We start from the raw sequence: 27,636 nt of genomic DNA on the forward strand, positions 1-27,636 counted from the left end.
CACTTCCGGGACTCAGGGTCGCAGGGAACTACTTCCGGGGGAGCGGCGCGGCGGCGCGGGAGGTGAGTGCCGCAGCTTTGCGGTGGGGTGGGAACCGAGAGAGAGCCGTCCTCGGTGCGGTGGCCTGGCTTTCCCGGCCGGCCTGTCTCCAGCGGCGCCGCTTGGTGGGCCCGGCTGTCGCTCCGCTCAGGGCCTGAATACGTTCCCTCGGCGGTTGTTCGAAAGTTACTTCCGGAGGGGAATTTGAGCCCCCCGGGAGGCGGAGGGCCTCGCCTGGGGCAGCCCTGCGCTTTCGTGCGGAGGCTGGGCCAGAACCCAGGGCTCCTCATGGCCTGGTCCGGGCCTTTCCTCCCACGGGTGGAGCAGTAGGAGAACCCTGAGCTCCAGAGTGAATCTGGCCAGGGTTCGAATCCGTATGGCTCTCTTACCGTGGGCAAGTCACGGTTCCTCTCTGGCCCTCAGTTTCGTCTTCTAAAATGGACATACACGCTTGTACTGCGGGGTAAACCGAGGTGGTGAATGTAAAGCCCTTAGTAGGTGCACAGTCCATGTTTGTTGTACGAATTCTAAGAGAAGCGAGAAATGAATATGAGAAACATTTTTAAAATGGTGACAACACATTTAGATTAATAATTATATTTTGCAGGGCATCTGCACACCAGTTTCAGCCCACCGGCTACCAGTGTGACTTTGCCCAGAGAGGTGGCTTAGCTTTGCATTCTAATCTAGTTTTGCGTGGTTCTTAGGAATTTGTTTTAATGGGACGGGCCAGGCTGTACAACCCATTGCCATAAAGCGGTAACTTCTTTTTCTTTCCTTTTTTTTTTTTTAAAGCCATTCTATTTATTTATTTAGAGACGGAGTCTCTCTCTCGTCCACGCTGAAGGGCAGTGGCGGGATCTTGGCTCACTGCAACCTCCGCTTCTTGGGTTCAAGCGATTCTCCTGCCTCAGCTTTCCGAATAGCTGGGATTACAGACGTGTGCCACCACGCCCGGCTAATTTTTGTATCTTTAGTAAAGACAGGGTTTCACCATGTTGGCCAGGCTGGTCTCAAACTCCCGACCTCAGGTGATCCACCCGCCTCGGCCTCCCAGAGTGTTGGGATTATAGGCGGGAGCCACCACACCCGGCTTTTTTTTCTTTTTAATTAAAAAAAAGTTGAAATAGAGATGGAGTCTCACTATGTTTTCCTGCCTGGTCTTGAACTCCTGGAGGCAAGATATCCTTCCTCCTGGACCTCCCAAAGTGTTTGGGATTACTGGCAAGAGCCACTGTGCCTGGCCTAAAACAGTAACTTCTGACACTGGTTTCTATTCCCCAGTCTGTTTTCAGCTGAATTTTCACAATAGAATTTAAAGTTACTTCATTAGAAGCCAAGAATGGCCTACCAGCACAGTACACAACATTGGGAGATGAAGGCCTGTGGCAGTCGTGAAATCTGAGTTTTTCAGTCTTAAGAGAAGATTTAGTATTTGCTAAGTCTTGAGAGCTATACTTGTCTCAGTGGTTTTTTATTTATTTGTTTTGAAATGTTGACCCATTCTTTTTTTCCCCAATAACCTTTTTGTTTTAGAATAATTTTAGATTTACAAAGTTATCGCAAAGATACTTCAGTGAGTGCCCATATAGCCCACGTTTCCCCTATTACTAATATCTGAAATGTCACAATTACTGAACCAATATTGATACATTATTATTAACTCTAATCTGTACTTTATTCACATTTCCTTAGTTTTTCCCTAATGTCCTTTTTCTGTCCTGGTATTATCCAGGGCACCCTATTACATTTAGTCATCATATCTCTTTAGGCTCATCATCTCTGTGATCGTTTCTCAGACTTCCCTTGTTTTAGATGAACTTGAGGGTTTTGAAGATAGTACTGACTGGTCAGATATTTTGCAGAAGGACCTTTAATTAGGATTTGCCTGTTTTTGACATGAGTAAGATCAGGGTAATGGGTTTTTGGGGAGGAGGACCACTGATAGGGTTCGGCTGTGTCCCCACCCAAATCTCATCTTGAATTGTAGCTCCCATAATCCCCCCATGTTGTGGGAGGGTCCTGGTGGGAGACAATTGAATCATGGGGGTGGGTCTTTCCCATGCTATTCTCCTGATAGTGAATAAGTCTCAGGAGATCTGATGGTTTTATAAAGGGCAGTTCCCCTGCACACACTCTCTTGCCTGCTGTCACATAAGACATGCCCTTGCCTCCCCTTTGCCTTTTGCCGTGATTGTGAGGCCTACCCACCCATGTGGAACCGTGAGTCCGTTAAACCTCTTTTTCTTTATTAATTACCCAGTCTCGGGTATTTCTTCAAAGTGGTATGAAAATGGACTAATCCAACCACAGAAGTAAAGTGCTATTCTCATCACATCATATCAAGGGTACATACTATCGATATGAGTTATCATTGTTGACATCTGTTAGCTTGAGCCACCTGGCTTGAGGTAGTAGTCAGGCTTTTCCAGTGTAGAGTTACTTTTCCTCCTGCACTTTCCGCACTGTACTTTTGGAGAAAGTCATTATGTACAGCACACATTTAAGGAGTGTGGAATTATGCCCCATGCTTAAAGGCAGAGTATATAATGCAAATTATTTGGAGTTCTCTGTGGGAAATTTGTCTGTTCCCCTATTTTTTGCTTACAGAGTCATATATTTGTATCGGTGTGAACTCATGGATTTGTTTTGTTTTGAGACAGGGTCTCCCGCTGTCGCCCAGGCTGGAGTGCAGTGGTGCAGTCTTGGCTCACTGCAACCTCCACCTCCCGGGTTTAAGTGATTCTCCTGCCTCAGCCTCCTGAGTAGCTGGGATTACAGGCACCTACCACCATGGCTGGCTAATTTTTGTATTTTTAGTAGAGAGAGTTTCACCATGTTGGCCAGGCTGGTCTTGAACTCTTGACCTCAGGTGATCCACCTGCCTTGGCCTCCTGATTACAGGAATCCCCTCTCCTGGGATTACAGGCGTGAGCCACCATGCCGGGCCTGAACTCATGGATGTTTATTTTATACTTTGGACCAGAATCCAGTACTACTTTATTTTGTTGCTGAAATTGTTCCTCCATTGGCCATTGGGAGCTCTTCCACTTGGCTCCTGTATCCCTTTGACATATCCCCCTCTATATGTTTTGCTTTGTTTTGTTTTGTTGAGCACTTTCTTTCTATTCCAGACTCATCTGGTATGTTTCTGCCCCAGTCCTAGAATTAGCCATTTCCCAAGGAGCCCTGGCTCCTTTTATTGGAGAATGGCCCAGAAAACAAGATCTGGGCTCTAGGTATGCTCAGTGCTTCTCAGTGTCCTTGCTTCTAGGCCTTCGCAGTGGACAGAGTAAGAGACATACGTATATATGCACAGATCTAGAAGTATTTCCATATATAACCACCTGTATCTACGTTCAGCTAAACATAACTGATGTCCAACTCTTATCCATGACTGCATGGATTGTTCTAGCTTGGCAGTCCCCAACCTTTTTGGCACCAGGGACCGGTTTCATGGAAGACAATTTTTCCACAGACCTGGGGGTGGGGATGGTTTTGGGATGATTCAAGTGCATTACATTTATTGTGCACTTTATTTCTGTTACTATTACATTGTAATATATAATGGAATGATCATACAACTCACCATAATGTAGAATCAGTGGGAGCCCTGAGCTTGTTTTCCTACAACTAGACAGTCCCGTCTGGGGGTGATGGGAGACAGTGACAGATCATCAGGCATTAGATTCTCATAAGGAGCACACAGCCTAGATCCCTCACATGCACAGTTCACAATAGGGTTCGTGTTTCTATGAGAATCTAATGCAGCCGCTGATCTGATAGGAGGTGGAACTCAGACGGTAATGTGAGTGATGGGGAGCGGCTGTAAATATAAAAGAAACTTCGCTTGCTCACCTGCTGCTCACCTCCTGCTGTGCGGCCTGGTTCCTAACAGGCCATGGACTGGTACTGGTCTGTGGCCTGGGGGTTGGGGACCTGTGTTCTAGCTTCCTTCTCTTGCTTGTCTGTAACCTCCCACTCCACCTGTGACAAACCCGACTCCCACCATTCACCATACATTTACTTAATTGTTCCATTTAGCATACATGTATGGTGGTTTTAGAATTGCTCCCCCGATCCCCTGTGGGAAACAACTTATCAGCTAGAGTACAGTGTGTACGTGCAGTTCCTTTTGCCTTCAGTCTTACAGGCTCCACTCGTTTTCAAAGTTACTTAGGTCAGCACCCTATTCCCCCACTACCCTTTCAGTGAAGTTGTTTAATACATTTGGATTCAGAATGTCACATTCTGCATTCCATCCTGGAACACCCTGACTTCATGCGTGTGTATGTTGGTGTGTTTTAAAAACTGGGTCTCACTATGTTGCCCAAGCTGGTCGCAAACTGCCGGGCTCAAGCAATCCTCCTGCCTTGGCCTCTCACAGTTCTGGGATTATGGGTGTGAGCCACTGTGATGGCCTTCCTATGTCTTTTTAAAAATATTTGCATACATTAAACTTTACTCTTTGTGCTGTCAAGATTTTTGGGTTTTGACAAATGCTTAATATTTTGTATTCCTAATTATAGTGTCATACAGGATAGTTTCCCCTTCTTCAGGGATTATTTTTAACTTCTTTCAGATTTCACCTCAGCATTCCTGTTGGCCTTCACCAAAATATATCTGTAAGCTGAGAATTTACCACCTCCACAGCTACCACCCTGGTGCAAATGTGTCTTTTGACTGTTAAAGTAGCCTCTTCACTGGTCTCCTTGCTTTCAGTCTTGTCCCCTACAGTCTGTTGTCAACAAAGCAGCCAGAGGGATCATTTTGAAATGAGTGAGACCATGTGATTTCTTTGCTAAGAACCTTCCAGTAGTTCCCTTTTCACTCAGAGACTGGCCAGAGTCCTCATAATGGCCTGCAGCTTGCTTACTTGACTGTTCTTGATCATGATGCTTATTCCTGCCTCAGGGACTTGGCCCTTGCCGTCCCTCCATCCTGGGATACTCTGGCAGATGTTTAAATGACTTCTTCCTTTGCTTTCTTCTTTCCTCTGTTGAAATGTCACCTTTGCAGAGAGGCCCTTCCCCGACCACCTCATATTAAATAGTACTATCCTCTTCTTCCTTCCTGTATGTATTGTAATACTCACCCCTGACATTGCATGTGTATGTGTGTATGTGAGTACTTCTAACTGAATGGAAACTCCGTGGCAGGGATTAGACCAGTGCCTGGCACATAGTAGATTCACAATAAATATTTGTCCAATGAATTAATGTCTTACGTCACCAGTGTCTGGCATTCAGGGGTGAACTTCGCAGTGTCCAGTAACCTCATGAAATTATTTGCCACGTTCAGTAATAATTAATTATGCACCTTTTGTTAAATTCTGATGGGGTATGAAAGTCCCCTGGTGTATAAAAACCTCTACCTGTAAGCAAGTCTGGAGCAGGACAGGGCTAGAGACCAGGATAGCAGCTCTGCCCTGACTCATCAGGAGAGTCTAGGGAAACCTCGTGGCCTCTCAGCTCCTCCTTGTCGTTAAATGATGACTCTGTTGGTTGAGGCATCTGCTCTTGCTTTCGAGGTGGGAAACAGAGGCATAGGCTTAGTCATTTACCAAATATTTATGAGTCAGGACCTGGAATAAACTCAAGATGTACCCAAGATCCTTGCTGTTCAAGAGATTACAATGGATCAAATAGAAAACAGTAGATTCCAGTGTAATATTTCTCAAACAATAAGAAATAACATTCTAAAATTTGATCCAGCACATGCATGCTCAGATGTAGATGGATGTTGAAAAAGCTTCAGGATATAATACCGGCCCTTAATGTGATACTCTTTGATATTTTCTATTGTTATTTACCTACTTAAATAAAGTGCTGGCTAATAAAAAATGCTGGTTGCAGCCCCCTAAATGGTTTTCCTGGCTCACTAATGGGCCACAGCCTGCAGTTTGAAAACGATTGACATACTGGGTAAGCGCCCTGACTCTGGGGAAGCCAGCCCCTTTGAATCTTGCCTTTGCCACTTATCAGCCAGGTTATCCCTGGGTAGGTCATATAACCTCTCCAAGCCTTGGTTTCCTCATCCTCATTAGTAATACCACCTCCCAGTGTGGTGGTGAAGTATGCGAGTTGCTGCCTGTAAAGTGCTGTTCGCAACACCTGGCCGTTCATTTGCCGACTGCTGCTGCTGCTGGAACAATGGCCAGGGAACAAAACCTGTCACAGCCAGTCGAAGGGGTGTCTCCTAGTTGAGATCTGCAGGATGAATAGGACTTGTTTGACTTTGGTCATCAGGAAAGGAAAGCCCAGAAATACTGGCAGGAGGGCTGGGAAGTAAAGCACAGAGGTGCAGAGAGAACTAGATGAGAGCCGTACGGCGCACAGTGTGTGTAGAGCAGTTTATGTTTCCAGAACCTTTTCACAACCACCCTCCTGTTACACCTGTGCTGTCCAGTAGGGAACCTTTGGCCACATGTGGCTTTTTATTGTTAATTAGTTAAATAAAATGAAAAATTCAGTTTCTCTGTAACATTTAAGTTTTCAACAGCCACATGTGGCTGGTGGCTACCATTTGGAGAACACAAATACAGAACATTTCCATCACTGCAGAAAGCTTTATTGGACAGTATGACATTATACCCTAACAAAAGTCTTGTGAAGGAAGTAGGTAGGGCATAGATTTTTCTTAGATACTTTATTGTTTCATAACATTCCAAAAAATTAAAACTCATGACTTATTCACCTTAACAGCAACTATTTATGTTTCTGTAGCATCTTTTGATCTTTAGCCCATGAAATCAGCTTATAGATGGTTCCAATCATAGTGTTTATACAATTGCTTATTTTTTTCAATTACTGTTACTTTGCAAAGACTTTCCACTGACCTGATACACAATGTTTATATTTGCCGGGTTAGTGAAGAGGGATTATGCCATGATGTACCATCACTGGGTTAACTGCTTCCTGATTGTTGGACGCCTGGGTTGCTTCCTGTTTTTCAGTATTATGAATAGTGCTGCCATGAACTTTTTTGTACCTGAAGGCTTTTTCTTCTTTTGAATTGTTTCCTTACTATAAATTCTAGGAAGTAAGTTATTCAGTCAAAGGATATAATCACTTTTATGGCTCTTGTTATATTTTGTCTAATTGCCATTTTTTAAAAAAAGGCCTAAATGTATTATAGGTATCATTGTTGCTTGGCTCATGAGAACATCCCGTCTCCAGAGGTCAAGAGATTATTAGCCCAAAGTGTAGCTACTTGCAGATAGAGCAGGGGCTTTTGTCCTCTGCTTCCCAACTCTTGCCCTATCTTTCTATTGTACCACTCCAAATATTTCTTATCACAATGTTGCTGTTAGTAGTAACACTAGTAAATCTGAGTATTTATAAGCTCATAAAGCTTGTTACAGCCTTAAGCAAAAAGCTTGGGGCCAAGGGCGTTTTAAAAAATGCACACTTTATGAGGTGCAACTGCGGAGAAATGAGGACGCGTTCTTAAGCTTTGGTATTCACATGGTGGTGGTGCTGGTAGAGGCTGTTACATTTCTTCCAGTGAAGCTGTTCTTGCAGCCGCCTTGGAATTCACTTCAGGGCCAGTTTATGAGCCACCCCAAGTAATCTGCTTGGAGTCTGAGCATCATACCTTGTATTTGACCAAAAATGGTATTCCTGAGCTCAGTGCCACCTGATTCACTGCACTTGGAACCAGATGATGTTGGGCTCTTTCCAGAAGTCAAATCCTTCCTGGGAGGATGAAGATCTGCCAGCTCTGAGGATTCTGGCTGGGAAGAAAAAGAGCCTCAAGCTTTGAAGGCCATTCCCATGGTAGACAGAGCTGATGTGAAAAGTGGCCATCCTGTTGCCCCAGGCACATGACCTTCTGAAGTGACCAGGCTGAAAGGGAAGCAATACTCGTGTGTAAGTCCGGCTCTGTTTACTTACGAAGGTTGTTTTTATTATTCTTCGGTTACTTCATGTTGGAAACATGGTGCAAAGCAGTGAAGCAGCAGAGCCAAGGTGGCGGCAGGCCTTTTTTTTTTTTTGAGATGGAGTTTCACTCTTGTTGCCCAGGCTGGAGTGCAGTGGCGTGATCTCGGCCCACTGCAACCTCCGTCTCCCGAGTTCAAGCGATTCTCTTGCCTCAGCCTCCCAAGTAGCTGGGATTACAGGCACCTGCCACCATGTCCGGCTAATTTTTTTGTATTTTTATTAGAGACGGGGTTTCTCCATGTTGGTCAGGCTGGTCTCAAACTCCTGACCTCAGGTGATCTGCCCACCTCAGCCTCCCAAAGTGCTGGGATTACAGGCGTGAGCCACTGCGCCCTGTGAGGCAGGTCTTTAGGATTGTCTCTACCCCAGGGCTTCCCCACAGAAATATAATACAGACTATGTATAATTTTACATTTTCCAGTAGCCACATTTAAAAAGCAAAAAGGGATGATGCCTGTAATCTCAACACTTTGGGAGGCTGAGGCAGGAGGATCACTTGAGCATAAGAGTTTGAGGCTACAGTGAGTTATGTTTGTGCCATTGTACTCCAGCCTGGGTGACAGAGTGAGACCCTGTCTCTAAATAAATAAATAAATAAATGGGTAAAAAGAAACAGATTTTTAAAAAATTGTGACAAAATATATGTAACAAATTTACCATTTTAACCATTGTTAAGTTTACAATTCAGTGGTATTTGCAGTGTTGTATAACCGTCATCACTGTCTATTTCTAGAACTTTTTCATCTTTGCAAACTGAAACTCTGTACCCAGTAAACAATATCTCCCCATTTCCCTTCCCTCCAGCCCTTGGTAACCTCAATTCTACTTTCTGTCTCTGAATTTGCCTATTCCAGGTACCTCATATAAGGGGACTCATACAATATTTGTCCTTTTGTGTCTAGCTTATTTCATATATATTTATTCAAAGCTCATAATGTTTTCAAGGTTCATTCATGTTGTAGCATGTATCAGAATTTCATTTCCTTTATGGCTGAGTAATACTCCATTGTATGTATATACTACGTTTTGCTTATCCATTCATCTGTTTATGGACTCTTAGTTGTTTCCATCTTTTGGCTATTGTGAATAATGCTGCTATGAACATTAGTATCTTGAGTCCTTGCTTTCAATTCAATTTTTTTTTTTTTTTAAACAGGATCTCTCACCCCGTCACTCAGGGTGGCGCAATCACGACTCATTGGCTCACTGCAGCCTAGACCTCCCAGCTGGAGCAATTCTCCTGCCTCAGCCTTCTGAGTAGCTGGGACTACAGGTGTGTACCACCATGTCCGGCTAATTTTTAAATTTTTTATAGCAACAGGGTCCCACTCTGTTGCCCAGGCTGGTTTCAAACTCCTGGGTTCAAGTGATGCTTCTGCCTTGGCCTGTCAAAGTGTTGGGCTTACACTTTGGGCGTAACCCACCATGCCCAGCCAATTATTTTTTACGTGTATTTTTTGGTGGCAGGGTGGGGTGGGGGCAGGGTCGGGTGGGGGCAGGGTCTCGCTCTGTCACCCAGGCTGGAGTGCAGTGGCGTGATCGTGGCTCACTGCCTTAAGCTCCTGGGCTCAAGTGATCCTCCCACCTCAGCCTCTCGAGTAGCTGGGAATACAGGAGTGAGCCACCACTCCTGCCTAATTTATTATTTTTTTTGTAGAGATGGGGTCTCGCTGTGTTGTCCAGGCTGGTCTCAAACTCCTGAGCTCAAGTGATCTGCCCACCGTGGCCTCCCAAAGTGCTGAGATTATAGGCGTGAGCCACTGCAATCGTTTCAGCATGTAATCAATATGAAAACATTATGAATGAGATAGATTACATTCTTATTTTCATACTAGGTCTTTGAAAATGGGTGTGTAATTAGCATCTCAATTCAAACTAGCTGCGTTTCAAGTCTTAATAGTCATGTGTGGCTCATGGCCACCATATTGGATAGCTCAGACTTAGCAAAATATTGCATTGTGGCACAGATCTCTGGAAACACAAAGGGTTTTAGATTCAAGTGGGCCTGGTTCCAAAGTAAATTTGCCCCTTTATCATTGGGATGGGCAGAAGAAAGCCACTGATGGGTGCTGTGGTAAAGGGGGAGCAGTTCAGTCATGCCAGGGGAAGAGGAGGGTGACAGGAGAGGCATGTTGGGGAGATGACACTTGAGCTCAGCCTTAGAGGCAGAGTGGGGGCTTTGTCAAGCAGTCACAGTGGGAAAGGACATTCTTTGCAGAGTATGCAGCTTGGGCAGAGGCCCAGGATTTTGAAAGAGCCCAGTGCTCTTGGAGAACCACAGCAGTTCTTTCAGCTTGACTAGGATATTAGGAGTGGGGGCCCTGCTGAGAGGAGAGGCTGGAGAGCTGGGCTGAGGCTGGACCTTGCACCACTGGCCACCACTGCCCCTGTCATTCACGCCATCAGCAGCTCTTGTCTGGCTTATTGGCAGGGGCCTCCTCCTGGCTCTCCCTGTGTCCACTTTGCCTCTCCCCTTGTTGTCCCTCCTCCATTTAAAAATGGAAGTCAGATCATGTCACTTTTCTGCTCAAAACCCTTCAGTGGCTTTACATTTTACTCAATCAAATTGGAGGTATCAGGGTCCGCCCCCACTCCTCTCTGATCATACCTCCTTCCACCCTCCCTCCTGATCACTTCTCTGCCTGTACTGGCCTCATTTCCCCACCCTGGGGCCTCCACACTTGCTTTTTTCCCTGCCTGGAACGTGTTTCCCTCAGATACACAAATGGCTCCCTCTCTCACTTCTTATCTCTTCCACTCCATTCCCGTCTCTGTTCTTCAGAGAGAGCCTTCTCATCACAAAATAAAATGATGCCCTTAAGTTTTTTCCAAAATGCTTATCACTACCTGGCATATCACATCTCGACGTGTTCATTGTCTGCTTCCATCCTGAGCATGTAGAGGCTCCAAGAAAGCAGGGGTTTGTCTGTTTTGCTCATTCTTCAGTGCTTGGTATTCAAGAAATATTTGTTGAATGGATGACTACATGAATAAATAAACAACAAAACCTGAAACGTAGCAGCCTTTAGTAAATGTATGTTGATTTGAGATTTTTGTTGAAGTGCTTCCCTTTGCATTTATTTATTTTTCTCAACTTTATGTTTGGAAAACATCAGATACACAGAAAAGTTGAAAGAATGGTTCATTGACTGACCATATGTTCCCAACTTAGATTCAAGAGTTGTTAACATTTCACAATTCCTGTATATATTCTTGGGTGTGTGTGTGTGTGTTCAAGTTAAAAGTCAGTTACAGGCTGGGTGAGGTGGCTCACACCTGCAATCCCAGCACTTTGGGAGGCTGAGGCGGGCAGATCACCTGAGGTCAGGAGTTCAAGACCAGCGTGGCCAACGTGGTGAAACCCTGTCTCTACTAAAAATACAAAAATCATCCAGGTGTGTTGGCCCACACCTGTAATCCCAGCTACTCGGGAGGCCAAGGCAAGAGAATCACTTGAACCCAGGAGGCCGAAGTTGCAGTGATCATGCCATTGCACTCCAGCCTGGGCGACAGAGTGAGACTCCATCTCATAAATAAATAAATAAATAAATAAATAAATGTCAGTTACAGAAATATGACACTGACCCTTTGCATTTACAAGTTGGTTCTAAAGAGTGGTGAGTCAGAAGAGACGTCAGGCAGCAAGCGACTTGGGCCATGGCCTCTGACCTAGACTTCTCACCTCCGGAGGTGCCCGAGCCCACTTTCCTGGAGAACCTGCTACGGTACGGACTCTTCCTGGGAGCCATCTTCCAGCTCATCTGTGTGCTGGCCATCATCGTACCCATTCCCAAGTCCCACGAGGCGGTGAGTTTTTCCCTGGGAGCCTCAGCTCCTCTGAGTGCCAGGCTGGGTTCTGAGTACTAACAGTAGGTGCCACCACAACTGAGATCAGCAGGGTCTACATTGGGCCTTTTTGATTTAGTGTGCCTCTGAATTTCCACCTGGTGGGTTGAACCACATAGCTAATACTTTATTTGTTCATGTACCCATTAAGGAGATTTTTATTTAGTGCCTACTACATTTCAGACTCTGCTGAAGATGTAGTGTCTGCACCTGAGGAGCATCTAGTCCTTGGGAGGAAGGCAGATAACAAAAACATACCTCCATGTGCTCCCATGAGAAGTACAGAGTCCAGTGAGGCTATATAACAAGGGGGAGAGAGACCTGATCTTACCCTGGGCTGTGGGCCCTGCCGAGGAGGCAGTGTTTGAGCTGAGACTGAAGGAATGAGCAGGCTTCTGCCAGGTGAAAGTGGGCAAGGGGCGAGGACAACATTCCAGGGAGAGGGCACTGCACGTGCAAGGGACTCAATAAAGGAAGGGGCTAATTCAAGGAACTGAATGAAGGTGACTGTGGCCAGAGCACAGAGGGGGCATGATGAGTGGTGCAGCCAGAGGTGTGGGCAGGGGCCAGAGGGTTTTAAGTGTGAGAATGACATGGTCAAATTGGCTTTTTTGTTGTTGTTTTGACTCTTCTTCTGTAAGTATCTTTATAACTATACACCCTCCTTCTACCCACTTTCTTGCCCACTCCCATTTGCTCGTGACATTGATTTATTGGAGAAAGCAGGTCGTTTGTCATGTGGGATACCTACATCCCAGGAATTGGCTATTGCTTCTCTGTGGTGTCATTTAACGTGTTTCTCTGTTCCCTGTGTTTCCTGTCAACAGGAGTTCCATGTAGAGGCCTGATTCCATTCCAGTCAGGTTATTGGGTACGAATACCTCAGAGCTGGTGCTATGTACTCCCTACTGTGTGGCATCAACAAGCAGGTGGTGTCTGGCTGCTGCACATTTAGAGATTCTTGGATTGATCGGTGGGTTTAGGTGGTATCAGCTGATCCCTCCATTATAAAAATCCGGTCAGTCTTTCACCTAAGCGGTTTTAGCATCCATTGATGGTCGTTGCTTAGATCCATTATTTCCTTCTGCATCTGTTAGCTGGAATTCTTTAACAAAGACCTTTTCCTTATCACTTGTATGATTACTCTGAATTGCTCTTCATAATGAAAAGCAGGAAAAATGCTTGGTTCTTTCCCTTTATTTATCAATTTTCAAAGTTGTGAGTTCAGACTCTAGCAACTTCCAATGATGACCAATGAAGCTTTGGTTTTCATAGCATTCTGAACATATTTTTAATATATTTAATATGTTTTAGTTTTTTTTTTTTGAGGGCACTTATCTGCCATTAATTTGTTTTTTATGTTCAGTGGGAGCCCCTTTAAGTTGATGTCTTTGTTCTTTGTCATACTTCATTAGTCTTTGATAGCTTCCTTGCTTCATGGTTCAATAAGATGTCACAGGCTCTTTTTTGTGTGTGTGCGAGACAGGGTCTTGTCTGTTGCCCAGGCTGGAGTGCAGTGGCACAATCACAGCTCACTGCAATCTCTGTCTCCCAAGTTCAAGCAATTCTCCTGCTTCAGCCTCCCAAGTAGCTGGGACTACAGGTGTGCCACCATGGCTGGCTAATTTTTGTATTTTTAGTAGAGACACGGTTTTGCCATGTTGCCCAGGCTGGTCACAAACTCTTGGGCTCAAGCCATCCACTTGCCTTGAGCTCCCAAAGTGCTGGAATTATAGGCATGAGCCACTGCGCCTGGCCCCAGGCTCATTTTGTACATTTCCTGCCCCAGTCTTGGAATCAGTCATTTCTCTAAAATGCTCTGGTTCTTTTTAGCTAGAAAATAGTATCTAGAGGCTACAGTTGGGACATTAGAAGTTTTCAGTGCTACTGAGCTGTGATTGCATCTAGGCCTTTCAATAAACAGAAATAGAAAATAAACATTTTTTAAGAAATGAAAAAGTTGTGAGTTCATACTGGTATTTCCAATTCAAATGTAAGGTGATAGTGTTTCTATTTATTTGATTTTATACTAGTGTCTTGTAACTCTTTATCTTATGCTGGAAATCTTGTTCTCAATAACATTAACAAAATGATGTATCTGCTAGATCCTACTGAATCTGAGGTCCCCAGGACCACCCCAGGTTCAGTGATGCACTAGGACTCTCAGCTGTGGCAGTGAAAGGATACCAGGTATGGCGGCACAGGGAAAAGGTACATGGGGCAGAGACTGGAGGAAACAGGCGCAGGCGTCTGAGTGCTCTCCCATTGGATACCCACAGGAAGGATTTGTGGCAATGTGTGTGAAGTGTTATCTAGCAGGGAAGTGAGTTAGAGACTCAGTGCCCACATCTCTTACTGAGGACTGGTTACAGAAGCACCCTTGGCCTAGCATGTACCAAAATTCCAGACTTCCAGAAAGCAAGCAGGTGTTCAGCATGAACCTTATTGTTTACACAGTATAGGCGTGGTGAGCCACTCTTATCATTTCTGGGAATTGTGAGAACCACCTGGAATCCAAGTTCCCAGATGCCAGTCAAGGGCCAACCTTGCAAGCATGCTTCTCTAAGATTAGCAATTTATATTAACTTTATTCTGCTCATCTACAATATACCAGTTACACTTTTAAAATAACTATATTTTTTACTACTAAGACTCAGAATGAAATTTAAGACTTCTTTGTGATTCTTTTTTGGCCTTAAAATATGTCTTTGTGGAGATACAAGGTCAAAATGTTGTGTTTAGTAACTATTTTTCTCTGTGTAGGTCTCCCATCATGAGATATAGTTTGGTTAATTTGCTTCAATCTGTTTTTAATTTTTAGAGATTTTTAAAATTTTGATTTAATTTGTTGTTTTAATTATATAAAACATTTATATACAATATTTCTCAAAGTCAAAACTATATAACAAGGTACATTTACAGAAGTTTCCTTTAATCTCATTCTCCTCCACCCTATTCCCTTCCTTCCCACATAGTTAACAGTTGTTATTAGTTTATCTTTCCTTTGTTTCTTTTTGAAAACAGTAACAAATGCATATATATGTGTATGGTGTGTACATATATATTTATATTCCCCCCTTCATTAAATAAAAGATAGCATACTATTAAACACAGTTTTGCAACTTTCTTTTTTCACTTAACATACGCAATATGTTCTGGAGATCCATATATCTTGGATATCACTGTTCCTGGAGATGCTGCTTCTGTAGCTGGGAGGATGATGGGGAATTACTGATACAATGTGGAACCTATTGATGCAGTGGAGAACTATGGTGAAGGAACAGGCTTAGGGTGGGTGCAGGGAAGGAACATGCCAAGTTCAGTTTTAAACAGATACTTTAACATGTCTGGGTGGTTCTGTCAAAAAAGCCGGTGGATTTACAAGGTCTCTAGCAGGAGGAGTGCATGGGCTGAGTGTTGACCAGCATGTGGGAGTTGATACGATGTCATTTGAAGCCACGGCAGGGGACAGGGTCTCCTAAGGAGAGAATGTGGAGGGAGATGAGAAGAGGACCTAGGCCAGAGCTGGAGGGGCTCCAGCATAGAGGGCACAGGCAGGGGAGGAGCAGCCAGCAAGGGTGGGAAAACCTTGGTGAACAGGGATGGGTTCGTGGCCTCTAGGTTGTCTTGTCCATCTCTTATTCTGGTATCTTGAGAAGGAGATCACTATTGGCGTTCTTCCACCCACAATTGTATCGCATTTTAAAAACATCACCTCTGTGCTCCTGGGCTCTGTCCCTGCAGACGTGGCATGCTATTCGGTATTATAAATAACAAATGTGGTTGTTGGTGGCTGATGAGGCCTGCTAAGAGTCCCGAGGGAGGGAGGTGATGAGCCTTCTTGTTTTATAGGCAGAGGTGTGTGGCTGTTTGGAGAGCAGGGAGGCTGCTCACCTCCTGTTGTGTTTGAAGCCCTTAGAAGTAAGCCACAGAAGCCTGGGTTAGTTCAGCAAACTTCAGAAAAGGAGCCCCTTTATTGTTCTCTTTAAGATTTTCAGTGGGATAGTGCGTTAAAGTCTTTTGAGGCAGGGAGTTGATGAAGGGTTCAAAAATATGCCATCATACCCCCCTACCCACTGCCATTTAGAGGTTACTTTTGGACAACAACCTCATGTTTTTAAATTTAAATATAGTACATGACATCTCTCATTTTTATTAATCTTGCATTTAGGGAAACAAGGCTCACACAAGTAAATTGTCTTCATAACTGAAGCTTACTGTTTTAACTTTTTTTTTTTTTTTTTAGCTTTTCAATGGATCAGTAGCAAAAAAATACAGTACTGTTGATCTAACTTTTTACTGGCGCATCAGGGGAGCAAATGGCCCCAGGTTATACAGGGGGTTCTGTCGCTAGCTCTCTGTGTGTCTCCATAAGGCAGCCTTTCTCACTTCCGAAACTCCTAACTAGATAGAAAGGAAACACAGCATTCTGTGCATAAACAGGATTACAAAGAGAGGGTGGATGCTGAGACTGTGCTGCTTAGAGGTTGTCCCTAATAGCTGAGATTTGGAAGGAGTTTGGAGGGGAAAGAAGGGGGTTTTAACATGGGGACGGGGTACTCTTAGGGAGAAAGGGAGCCCATGGGAGTGGGGGCAGCTTGTAAGACACTAGGCAGCCAGAGGGCAGTTGGGAGATACCTGGAAGTGGAGGGTGGCAGGAGGTAGGAGAGGGGGCAGAAGTGAGGGTGGGAGGACCCAGAGAACAGTCTTGCCCTCTTTGCCGTTTTGCTCAGGGCAAAATCTTCCCTCTTGCTTAGCCTATAGAAACAGGGTTTATTAGTGGCTTTTTGGGTCAGAAGATAATATTTTTGGCTCCAGATGATGGGAAAGCCTTTGAAAAGCAAAAGAATGTTTCCTGTTCTAGTAAGCCGATTTTTTGCAACTTGCTTATGACTTCAGTATTTCAATACTTAGCAGATTATTTGAAAGCTCTTTTGGGGTTAATCAGGGAGGAAAAGAGGGAACACATACAAATGCTTCCCACCCCACCCCCTTCCTTTTCATAGTAGGAGCAAGAGTCAATTTGTAAAATCAAAAACCAAGTCCCTAGAATCGTAAGCCAAATGAAAAGGTTTTCTCATTGGCAACTCATTAAACTCAGACCTAAGAAAACAAACATTTGTTTGAGCCTGATGGAGGCGTGGGCCACACTTAATCCAAGCATTTTCTTGTAGGCTGGATTCTAAAATAGAAGATAGTAGGTCCTAGTACCATTTCCATCTAGTCCAGGTTAGCTGGTAAGTTTCATCTCTCATGCCAAGTCTGATCAATTGCTTGGTGGCCATGGTGAAAAGGATTCTGGGGGCTGCTGCTTTGCTCTGGAGGAAAGAAATTGATCAATGATGTCTGTTTGCTGTGAGCTGGGATTAGAGAATGACAGTGCCGGTCCTTGGACTGGCCAATGATTCTCCACAAGGCTGCACATAGAACCATCTGGGGAACTTTCAAAGGCCTAGACCACACCCAGAGATTCTGATTCAGTTGTTCTCTGAAGCCTTGGATCAGTATTTTCTTTTTATTTATGTTTTTGAGACAGGGTCTTGCTCTATTGCCTAGGCTGGAGTGCAGTGGCACAATCGTAGCTCACTGCAGTCTCGACCTGGACTCAAGTGATCCTCCCGTCCTCTGCCTCCTCAGTAGCTGGGACTACAGGTGTGCTCCACCACACCTGGCTAATTTTTAAATAATTTTTTTGTAGAGACACGGTTTCACTATGTTGCCCAGGCTGGTCTTGAACTCCTGGGCTCAGGTGATTCTCTCACCTTGGCCTCCCAAAGTGATGGGATTACAGGCATGAGCCAGTGTGCCCGGCTTGGATCAGTATTTTTTTAAAGTGTCCAGGTGATTGTAATATGCAGCCACTACTCAAGTCTTTAGATAATTTCCCTCAAACACAAACCAATTTTAGGAGGACAGGATATGTTCAGTTCTTAGATGTGTTAAGTTTGAAATAATAGCAAAATGTTCCGTGTGGGAAAGGAAAGGCGAGCAAGAAGTTGGGAATAGAGACCTGACAATTATTTTATTAACAGAGCATTATGATGCCTGTAAACCCAGCACGTGGGAGGCTGAGGTGGGCGGATCACTTGAGGTCAGGAGTTCAAGACCAGCCTGGCCAACATGGTGAAACCCTGTCTCTACTAAAAATGCAAAAACTAGCCAGGCGTGGTAGTGTGTACTTATAATCCCAGTTGCTAGAGAGGCTGAGGCAGGAGAATCCCTTGAACCCGGGAGATGGAGGTTGCAGTGAGCTGAGATTGTGCCACTGCACTCCAGCCTGGGCGACAGAGCGAGACTCCATCTCAAAAAAAAAAAAAAGGAAACCAAACAAATACAGCATTATTACTTGAAACCCAAGAATGAGTTGCTGAGTTTTGCAAGGGAAATGAAGATCCAGGAAAGACGTGAACTTGGAGCATACCCAACCTGTTGAAGTAGTTTCCGTGCAATGTAGATAGACTGAGAAGGTGCGGGTGCTGTCCTAGAACCCAAGAGCAGGAGCGCCGCAGGGCCTCCGGAAGTGGTGGGAACTGGGACTTACTGCTCCTCACTGGCATGCCCTCTGCCTCCCTTCCTGTCTCCCTCCTGTCTTTTGCTTTTCTAACTAGGACCCTGCTTCTCTGCTTGCTGGCCCTGTGGTGAGATGCAGCACAGCCACTAAACACAACCATGCCTTCCTGCTGGTCTCAGTTCCAGCATCCCCAGGGAAGGAACTGTGGCTGACCCAGCTTGGGACAGCTGTGGCCAGTGGAGGGGAGGGGAGGGTTCTGTGGAGTGACCTCTGAGTGAGGATGGGAAGGTCCATTCCCACAGGGGGACTGCTAGGCAGACAAAGCTGGGGTCTCCCTTTCTCTCCCTCTCTCAAGTGACAGGCAGAGCAGTGGGCAGGAGACCAGGAGAGTGTGGCCTCCCTGAAGTCCACCGAGTGGTTCATGGAGAGCACATGTGACACCAGTTCCCTGGAGAGGATTGGGGAAAGCCAGCCTAGTCTGACACCACCACTGTGTTCCAGCTGCCGTCCTTCAGAGTTGGGTTTCAGTAGAAGAAAGTTCTCAATAGGGAGTTCCTGGCTTTCTAGGGAAGTCCTGGGATAGGTTTGAGGGGTCTGTGATCCCCCTCAAATTGTGTACAAGAATGTGAGGTTTTATATGCCTAGGCACATTTTCTGGGGGAGATGGTCCATAGCCTCTCTACATGGAGTGCAGTGGGAAGTGGGGGACAGGTTTCTTCTCAAGGTGGGGAGCCTGTCTTCCTCCTCCCCATAACCCTCCTCCAAGCCTCTTCCGGATCGATTTCTACACAGAGTGTTGATTCAGCCAGATAAGGTGCACGAAGGTAACTAAGCAAGTGGGTGTAGACTTTGAGTTCAGCAACTTGTGTGGCAGATAGTCAGTCATACACGGTAGTGAATCAGAAACTCTCCTAGTTTCAGTGTTGACTATTCTCATCTGTTCATATGCTTATAGTGCATCTCGTCAGCTCACAGCCAGCTGCCTGCTTCTAGAAGGCAGGTCCTTTCACTTCTACTCTGCCATGTTTGTTGATTGCCACCGTCTCATATTAGTGGGGACTCTTCCTGTTGCAAGTTCAGAAACAGCTCCAGCAGCTTCCCCGAATGGAAACAGTATTGGCTCTTGGAACTGGGAATTTCAAAGGACAGCTGGATTTAGGGGTTCAAGGGGTCTCCAGGGCTTCATGTGTCTCTCTCTCTCCTGGCTTTCCTGGGAGTGCTGGCTTCCTTCCTAGGCCCTTGTTCTGTGTTGGGAAAGATGGCTGCAGCAGCCACAGTCAGTGCCCTTATCAGTCGGGATTGACAGGTGAGAGAAGCCATTTCTCTGCCTCTCCTCACCTTCTGAGTCTCATGGAAGGCCTCTCCTTGGCCACATACACCTTGTCTCACAGGTGGGAAGCAGGAATGAGTGCTGTCTCTGGCCAGGCCACATTTAGCTGCCTACTCTTGTGACCCCAGTGACTGAGAGTCCCCCAGACCCCCATGGGATAGGGAAAGGGCAGGGTCCCCATGGAAAAGAGGTGCTGGGAAGACAGACAGCCGGTGGCCAGCATTGCGATCTAGTGGAGGACTCGCCACGGGCGATGGTGAGAGTGGTGGCTTTCAATATGATGCCCGTGGAGACTTCACAACCAACCAGAAAGCCCTGCAGTGTTTAGACCCCTGATGATGTTTTGGCTCATCAGTATGGTGAGCCACCTGCACCTACTGCACCACAGGTGGCTCATTCCTGTGGTGCAGTAGGACAGTGGCCTAGAAGGTCAGGACTCTTCTGGAAAATTTTGCACAAGGGTCTTGATTTTAAACGAGGCCGCTAGTTGCCAGTGAGGCCTGCCGTAAATAAATAATGAGCCCCAGGCAAGCATCCACCCATTCTCAACACCTCAGGACACAGACTCACAGAAGCAACTGTGCATTTCTGCTCTGTGTGGTTTTAAAGCTTGGGAGGAGGTTGCAGTTGAATTGAGAGGCAGGCTGTTTTTTACTTAATGACCCGTTCTGGAGAGATTGCCGTGTGATGAGGGTATAAACATGCTTCCACCAGCCTGTGGTCTGGAGATGTGTACCGACCGGTTCTTGGGAGAGACGGCTGGACACACAAGGAGCCACAGAGCAGCCAGTGGGGAGGGCCAGCATAGTCGTGCTGAATTGTGTCTGGAATGAGCTCCCAAGGCTGTTCTTTCTAATCACAGTTCTCCCCGCCTGCCAAGCGCATCCTGGACTCCGTGTCTCCGTTTGCCTTGTTGAGTCCACATGGATGGCCTTCCTTGCTCTCTGTTTCAGCCAGTCCTATCTTTCCTCAAGGCCACTGCTAGTTTCATCTCTGCGAGGCCTTCTCAGCTCCCACCCTGTCTCAGGCCCTCATGGCCCGCTGGGATGGGCAGCACCTTCAGCGTTAAGCAGACTGGTCTGAGTGCTGACCTGCTTTTAGTCTGCCTCCGTCATCAGAAGAGGATATTCCTGCCTAACTCCATTGTTCTTAGAGGGTCATGCAAGATAAGGTGCACGAAGATGCCTGAGTATAGCACCTGGGCCATTTTCAAGGAAAGAGTGGCCTGCGTAGAATGACATTTTGTCCTGATTTACAGGACTAAATCCACATTGAACTGTAGAGTGGAAATCATAAAATTCAATGCACTTTTCATGCTGGAAGGGATATGATGTATTGTGGCACACATTTGATTATTTGGATCTGATGAATAGCAGCAATTTTCTGGCCTGGTAAGCGCTGCAGAGCTGCTTCATTATTGATGGGGCCTGTGTCCACAGAGGACGCCACTGTGAACCCAGGAGCCACCTGGCCTCGGGAGTTTTCTTTTATATGTGACAGTGTGATTGCTGAGGAAACTTGAGGCTCGCTTGAGAGGAGGCGCAGTGCTCCCAGATTTAAAGGCAGGGCTGTCGGCTTTGTAGTCTGCCGTCTGTGTGGCTGGTACGGGCAGCGTACATTTGAGGAGAAATGAAAAGGCAGCCCTTAATTGAGAGTCATTCTTGTCAGTGAAGAACTTGGAGCTACAGGCCCTGTGTGGCTGGGACCCCAGGGCCCAGGTCATGTGGGTCACGGCCGCCTTTGCTTCCCTGCAGCTTGCATGGGGCCGTCACCTGGCCTCAGGGAGCCTGAGTGGCCTTGCCAGTGGAGTGTGGCTCGTGGTGGCTGGCTCACCAGGGCGATGGAGAGGCTCGGTGAGCATCCACATGGCACACAGCCACTAAGTGTGCGTTCTCATCTTCATTCCCCGTGGCACAGTGCCCACATGTACTGGGTGCAGGTAGAGATACAGAGGAGGAAAGGGAGCAGAGTACTGGGAGACACTGGCTGGCCAGTATCTCAGGGTGACAAGAGTAGGCTGCACGACGGGGCCTGCCTGGAGACAGGGGCCAAGACCGAGCAAGAGGCCTGGAGCCCCTGCTGGGTGTCTTGGAATTTATCTCACACAAAGGGGAACCAGCAAAGTTTTTGAAGGAGGAAACAGACACGATTGGGATTGTTGTTGTCATTGTTTTTTTTATTTGTTTGTTTGTTTTTGTTTTGAGCGAAACTTTTTTTGAGTTTTGCTCTTGTTGCCCAGGCTGGAGTGCAATGGCATGATCTCGGCTCACGGCAGCCCCCACCTCCTGGGTTCAAGTGATTCTCCTGCCTCAGCCTCCTGAGTAGCTGGGATTACAGGCATGCACCACCACGCCTGGCTAATTTTGTATTTTTAATAGAGATGGCATTTCTCCATGTTGGTCAGGCTGGTCTTGAACTCCCGACCTCAGGTGATCCACCTGCCTTGGCTTCCCAAAGTGCTGGGATTACGGGCGTGAGCCACCGCGCCCGGCCTGTTGTCATTGTTTTAGGAAAATCGACTCTGAAAGGAACGTAAAGTAAACTCTGACGAGCATGGGGAGGTAGAGGCACGGGCAGGAGAGTCTGTGGGAGGCAGATGCAACCAGTGGGGCCGGCAGGGGACCTGGGTCTGATCTGGGCAGTGGAGTGTGTCCAGAGGGGACTGGCTGGGTCTAGAGCCCGTTGGAAAGCGGAATGGACAGACCTTGGGGACAGGTTGGATGCTGAGAACTCATAAATGACTTGGAGGTATCTAGCTTGGGTAACTGGGTGCGTGACGGCTCTAAAAGCTGAGGTAGGGAAGAGAGGAGGAGGTCTGGGGTGAGGAGGAGACAGATCAAGCATTCAGATGACTCGATAACTGTAATATGTACACACACCCACAGAAGACTCCCTTCAGCTGTAAAAAATCAAGCGTGATCTGGAGCACAAACCCACTTTTCTGATTGCTGTAGGGACTTTAGTCACAAACAAGGGGTTGTAGGTGACCCATTGACAGATAGGTTCTCAGAGGAGCTGTACTTACCATTCCAGAGGCACCTTGTGGTTCTGGGGGCTGCTAAGTAGAGAGTAGATTTCATAGTTAACTCAGATTCAACTTATTCCTACCCCTGAGGGCCCCAGGAAACCTGGGAGAGGCTGGACCGTGTACCCATGAAGAGGTTAGTTTCAAATCTTGGGTCTGCTACTCACCAGCTAAGGCCTTAGGCAAGTCATATGACCTGAGTGTCTGTTCCTTTGTTTATAAATTGGGCCTCATTATGGCACTTTGTGAGGCCGTCATGTCCAGACACATAACACAGGGTCTGGCATATTATAAACAATAAATAATTAGCAGCTGTTGTGGCTCTTGTTTTTTAGAGAGGGAATCTCTCTCTGTTGCCCAGGCTGGAGTGTAGTAGCTATTTACAGACACAGTCATAGCGCACTACAGCCTCAAATTCTTGGGCTTTAGTGATCCTCCTGTCTCAACCTCTCGAGTAGCTGGGAGGACAAGCATGTGCCACCACGCCCAGCTGTTGTTATTATTGGCAGCTATGCTTAAGGCATAATTTAGGCCAGGGTATGTATATTCGGTTTTAAGTCTGTTCATATCCTCTGTGATCATGGAAAAGTGAGGCCTGGTTTTAAGTGCTGTATTTTCATGGGAATAAACAAGAATGAAGTTCTCATGGTTACTGGGAGACCTTGGCTGTTCTTTCATTTCATTCATTCATTCACTCATTCATTGATTCAGCAACAGTTGAAGCTATCCCAAAGTGCTCATGGGCTAATAGGGGAGACTAACATGAAAACATGTAACTGGCTGGGCGCGGTGGCTCACGCCTGTAATCCCAGCACTTTGGGAGGCCGAATCGGGCAGATCACGAGGTCAGGAGATCGAGACCATCTTGGCTAACATGGTGAAACCCCGTCTCTACTAAAAACATAAAAATTAGCCAGTAGCGGGTGCCTGTAGCCCCAGCTACTCGGGAGGCTGAGGCAGGAGAATGGCATGAACCCAGGAGGCGGAACTTGCAATGAGCCGAGATCGAGCCACTGCACTCCAGCCTGGGCGACAGAGCGAGACTCCGTCTCAAAAAAAAACAAAGAAAACATGTAACTATGGGAAAATAATAGTGGCATTATGGGCTGGGCGCAGTGGCTCACGCCTGTAATCCCAGCACTGTGGGAGGCTGAGGCGGGTGGATCACTGGAGGTTAGGAGTTTGAGACCAGCTTGGCCAACATGATAAAACCCCATCTCTACTAAAAATATAAAAAATTAGCTGTGCGTGGTGGCGGGTGCCTGTAATTCTAGCTACTCAGGAGGCTGAGGCAGGAGAATCACTTGAACCTGGAAGGCGGAGGTTGCAATGAGCTAATATCGAGCCACTGCACTCCAGCCTGGGCAAAAGAGTGAGACCTTGTCTTAAAAAGAATGGTGGCATTATAAGGTTCCTGGGTGCCTAGGGGCCCGAGGAGGGAGGAGGGGCTGCCCCCAGCTGGAAGGAGGAGCAGGGAAGGAAGGCTAGACAGTGAGTAGGAGTGTATTCATGGACAGGGCCAAACCATGGGAGCAGTTTGCCGGGTGGCCAAGGAAACAGGTATTCCTGTTGATGAAGGTGACCAGCGGAAGCTCTGGGGCCTGACTCAGTGTGAGGGATGAAGAGGAGCCCATGTGAGGCTGGAGAGGTGGCCTTTCTTAGATGCCATTCCAGAGACAGCCACTGGAAGCTTTAAGGTGGAAGGTGCAGTGGTCAGACCTGCACTTTAGAATAGTTCCTTTCGTGGGTGCATGAGGAATGGACAGAGACAGCAGGCACTTTGCTTAGCTGTGGGCGGAACTGAAGGGGGAATTGGATGCTGGAGAGAGTAGCAGAATCAAGAGGTAGAGGGGGTCATGTCAGCAGGACATGGTGACCCACTGGACAGTGGGGAGCAGAGAGAGGGTGAGGTTACCGGGTCTCTGGTTGCTCCACCAGTGGGAGGAGGGCCGGGCCTTCTGGGTCTGGGACAGTTAAGTTGGAGGTGCCTTGGAGATGCCAGTCCTGATTGTCTGGCAGACAGCTGGATCAAGGGAGAGGTCTGGGAGGTGCCAGAATGGTTGAGGCTCTAGAGACAGGGCCTGTGGAGTGAGGGAGGCACTGGGGCGGCAACTGGGTCTCACTGTCCCTGTGGTCTCTGAACTGAGCCCCACTGAAACTGGAGGAGCCCCCAGCCTTGAGCTCAGAAGGCAGACTCCTTCCTAGAGATCCAGGCAGGCCTTGCAAATTTTGTTTTGTTTTGTTTTGGCCAAGTTACATAAACAGAGTAGGGGGACCTTCAGATCATTTTGATTTTTGGTGGGAGGAGGCTCAGCAGGCCGAAGGAATCCAGCACTGCAGTGAGAGGCCTGGCTGGGGAGGGGAAGCCCTCCAGTTATCTTGGGACAATCACTCCTTGGGGGCCTGGGACCTGGCTGGCTCTTCATATCTGGTTATCTCGCCTGGCTGATGGGAGACGATGTTGGCCGATAGGAGGGAGCTGACAGGCCTCTGGATCAGATCCGAGGCAGGGACTGCCCTTCCCTGCATGGGCCCTCCTCTTCTGTAGGGTGGGCTGAGGCTTGGGCCACGGGCCAATGGGGCAAGCAGGGAAGGTCAGGGAGTAAAGTGAGCTGGAAGCCGGGGTTGGGAAATGAAACACAGAGGGGTATTTTTCTCATCTGGAAGTGTCCCCCCTCCCAGGAGTCTTAGTCTGCTTCTTATTTTCCCATTTCTCAATAAAGAACATGGGCACTGAGAAACATTTCCCAATCATAGTGCTGGGGGCGGCAGGGTGTGGGGGCCACGGTCGGCACCTGAAAAGGGGCAGCGCCTCCTCAGCCCCTCACTGCCATGAGGGAATGCAGGGCCATTGTCACCGGATGGTTAGTTTCAAGAGAATCTAGGAATCCAGATTTCATGGGAAATCTCCCAATTGGCTTAAATTTTTAAATAAACACTGCCGGCCAGATGAAGTCTGTGGCCTGGACGAGGCCTGTGGGCTGTGGTTGGCGTTCTCTGGGCTAGCCCGGCCTCTCTGACGTCCGTCCTTTCTGGCCACGGCACACTGCAAGTTATCACCCAGAGGAGGAGAGGACACTAGATAGGAGCACACTGAGCCTATTCCAGATACTTCTCTGACATGAGCCTGAGTGGCTGGGCCAAGCTGTGTCCCTTCCCTGGAGTCTCCCTTCCTTATCAGCACAATGAACGCCAGGGCTAGATCTGTGGGTTTCAACCTTTCGTTCCTTAGCAGCAGAACTTTGTTTCATTTCAATCTTACAAGGGACAAATCACAGTGTATGAAATAGATTGAAAATCAGAGCTGCTCCTGTCGCCCAGGGAGTCTGGAATTCTGCCCCGAGGCTGCCTCTGCCCTCCCCCACAGAGGCACCTCTGACAGGCTCCGCAGAACACAGTGTGGGACTGCCCACCTGCCGGCTGGCCCTCTGCACCCCTCCCAGTCCTGGCATTCTGTGGGTTGAATGGGAGGACAAGAATGGCAGCCAGAGGAGGGCAAGCCACAGTGGGTCTGCCCCATAGCCAGCTCCTCGCCCACATTTTGTCCAGTCCCTGGCACGAGGTGATCGGCCAGTCACTGGGTGCAGCTGGCACTTCCTGGGTGCTTTCCACGTAGTTTTGCCTCCTCACATCAGCCCTGTAAGGCGGGTGTGGCTATTTCCATTTCACAGGTGAGTAAACCAAGACACAGAAAGGGGAAGTGAGTTTCACACAAGGTCAGTTGGCTGGAAAGGGAAGGATCCCAGGTTCTACCTGGGCGTCTGAGACCCCACAAGCTGCTCCCTCCCCGTGGGGCTTCCTTTATTCTTCACTGAGAGCCACGATGCTCCGGGGCAGTCCCACATCCGTGTGGGTGGTAGGTCCCGGGAATGACAGTTTCCATCTCTTGTGTTTCTGTGGCATGCTTCTTTGCTTTCAGATGTGATCTCCTTTTGCTGGCGTCAGGCTTGATCCATCTAAGCAGGACTCTCCTTTTTATCACCTCACAGGAGGCTGAACCGTCTGAGCCCAGAAGTGCTGAGGTGACGAGGAAGCCCAAGGCTGCTGTTCCTTCTGTGAACAAGAGGCCCAAGAAAGAGACTAAGAAGAAGCGGTAGAAGAGGAGGCCTGAGGAGCTGGGCGGGCAGGGAGAGGGTCTTGGGGACAGCCCTCCTGGGAATCTACATTGTGTTCCCCCGCATTCCAGGCTCAGGGTCTGAGGAGGCTGTGACGCCCTATGACCGCAGAGATCTAGACAGTCGTAACAGTCCCCAGGCTCCAGCTGGGCAATCCACCACTTCCTCTTCCTTCTGCTTCTGTGACGGTTTAGAGTCAAGGGGGCTGAAACACACTGTGAGCATAGACTGTATTAGGTTTGTTCAGAAGCCGGGTCAGCTCACAGAGTCACATTTTCTTGCTTAGTCATGTGTCCCTCCTTGAGTTGCCCCCTCCTTGTGGGTTTACACTACATTTGGGAGTCATTGTCTAATGCTGACAAGCACACCCTCTCCCATTATTTGTGCACTACAGATCTCCTCCTGATCAGTCACCTTTGTTGCTGCTGTGTAGACAGAGCCAGGCCTCACCTGTTTGTTTAGGCCAAGATGCCATGGACATGCAGCGTTAGTGATCCCACTAGCTGTGACAGCCAGGCCCAGAAAATGCCTGGCGTGAGAGCCAGCAGACAGCCAGGCCAGGGTAGGCAGTGCCTGCTTCTGCTCCATCAGGTGCAGGGGATTTGGCTGAAGGCGTGCATATTTCCTGGGCACAAACTTCCTGAGCCTCTGAAATGGGAGGCTCGTCAATTTCAGACCAACCTCTTTTCAACCCATCATAGCACGTTCAAGGTGTGCCTTTTACTTCTACCTGTACATCCCCCATCCCTTCAATTCTTTCATTCCCTGACCAGTGAGAGGGTTCCTGGGGGAAGTATGGTGAATAAACTGACATGCATGCTTCAGAA

At 47.4% G+C, this 27,636-nt stretch overlaps 1 protein-coding gene across 14 annotated transcripts, besides 5 other annotated features; it reads left to right on the forward strand.

Moving 5' to 3' along the window:
• Positions 1-905: an enhancer, noted in NCBI's record as "H3K27ac hESC enhancer chr20:35918028-35918932 (GRCh37/hg19 assembly coordinates)". NCBI's record gives its function as "activates a minimal SCP1, AML or CMV promoter by ChIP-STARR-seq in naive H9 embryonic stem cells {active_cell/tissue: H9 hESC(naive)}" and the evidence as "EXISTENCE:reporter gene assay evidence [ECO:0000049][PMID:30033119]".
• On the forward strand, positions 31-27,636 carry MANBAL (mannosidase beta like). 14 transcript variants are annotated; one of them, NM_001387339.1, is made up of 6 exons: positions 31-62; positions 7,672-7,910; positions 9,139-9,255; positions 11,584-11,789; positions 12,656-12,699; positions 26,684-27,636. In NM_001387339.1, exons 4-5 carry the CDS (start codon positions 11,640-11,642, stop codon positions 12,674-12,676), a joined length of 171 nt encoding a protein of 56 aa, NP_001374268.1. In that variant the 5' UTR covers positions 31-62; positions 7,672-7,910; positions 9,139-9,255; positions 11,584-11,639; the 3' UTR covers positions 12,677-12,699; positions 26,684-27,636. The 14 variants fall into 14 exon arrangements, with proteins under 14 accessions (NP_001374268.1, NP_001374264.1, NP_001363461.1 ...); NM_001387335.1 differs by lacking the exon at positions 12,656-12,699 and having other exon boundaries at positions 11,547-11,789; NM_001376532.1 differs by lacking the exon at positions 12,656-12,699.
• Positions 2,134-2,243: an enhancer, noted in NCBI's record as "active region_17834". NCBI's record gives its function as "activates an Ori minimal core promoter by ATAC-STARR-seq in GM12878 lymphoblastoid cells {active_cell/tissue: GM12878}" and the evidence as "EXISTENCE:reporter gene assay evidence [ECO:0000049][PMID:35858748]".
• Positions 25,140-26,047: an enhancer, noted in NCBI's record as "H3K27ac-H3K4me1 hESC enhancer chr20:35943167-35944074 (GRCh37/hg19 assembly coordinates)". NCBI's record gives its function as "activates a minimal SCP1, AML or CMV promoter by ChIP-STARR-seq in naive H9 embryonic stem cells {active_cell/tissue: H9 hESC(naive)}" and the evidence as "EXISTENCE:reporter gene assay evidence [ECO:0000049][PMID:30033119]".
• Positions 26,048-26,957: an enhancer, noted in NCBI's record as "H3K27ac-H3K4me1 hESC enhancer chr20:35944075-35944984 (GRCh37/hg19 assembly coordinates)". NCBI's record gives its function as "activates a minimal SCP1, AML or CMV promoter by ChIP-STARR-seq in naive H9 embryonic stem cells {active_cell/tissue: H9 hESC(naive)}" and the evidence as "EXISTENCE:reporter gene assay evidence [ECO:0000049][PMID:30033119]".
• Positions 26,433-26,602: an enhancer, noted in NCBI's record as "active region_17835". NCBI's record gives its function as "activates an Ori minimal core promoter by ATAC-STARR-seq in GM12878 lymphoblastoid cells {active_cell/tissue: GM12878}" and the evidence as "EXISTENCE:reporter gene assay evidence [ECO:0000049][PMID:35858748]".

Source organism: Homo sapiens, chromosome 20, assembly GCF_000001405.40.
Source record: "Homo sapiens chromosome 20, GRCh38.p14 Primary Assembly".
Taxonomy (NCBI): Eukaryota; Metazoa; Chordata; class Mammalia; order Primates; family Hominidae; genus Homo; species Homo sapiens.

Excerpts from the sequence above, each read along its gene's own strand:
- MANBAL (NM_001387335.1), top strand. The coding sequence starts at position 11,640 with ATGGCCTCTGACCTAGACTTCTCACCTCCGGAGGTGCCCGAGCCCACT. Across the intron at positions 11,790-26,683 it reads TTCCCAAGTCCCACGAGGCG|GAGGCTGAACCGTCTGAGCC; the intron begins GTGAGTTTTTCC and ends ATCACCTCACAG.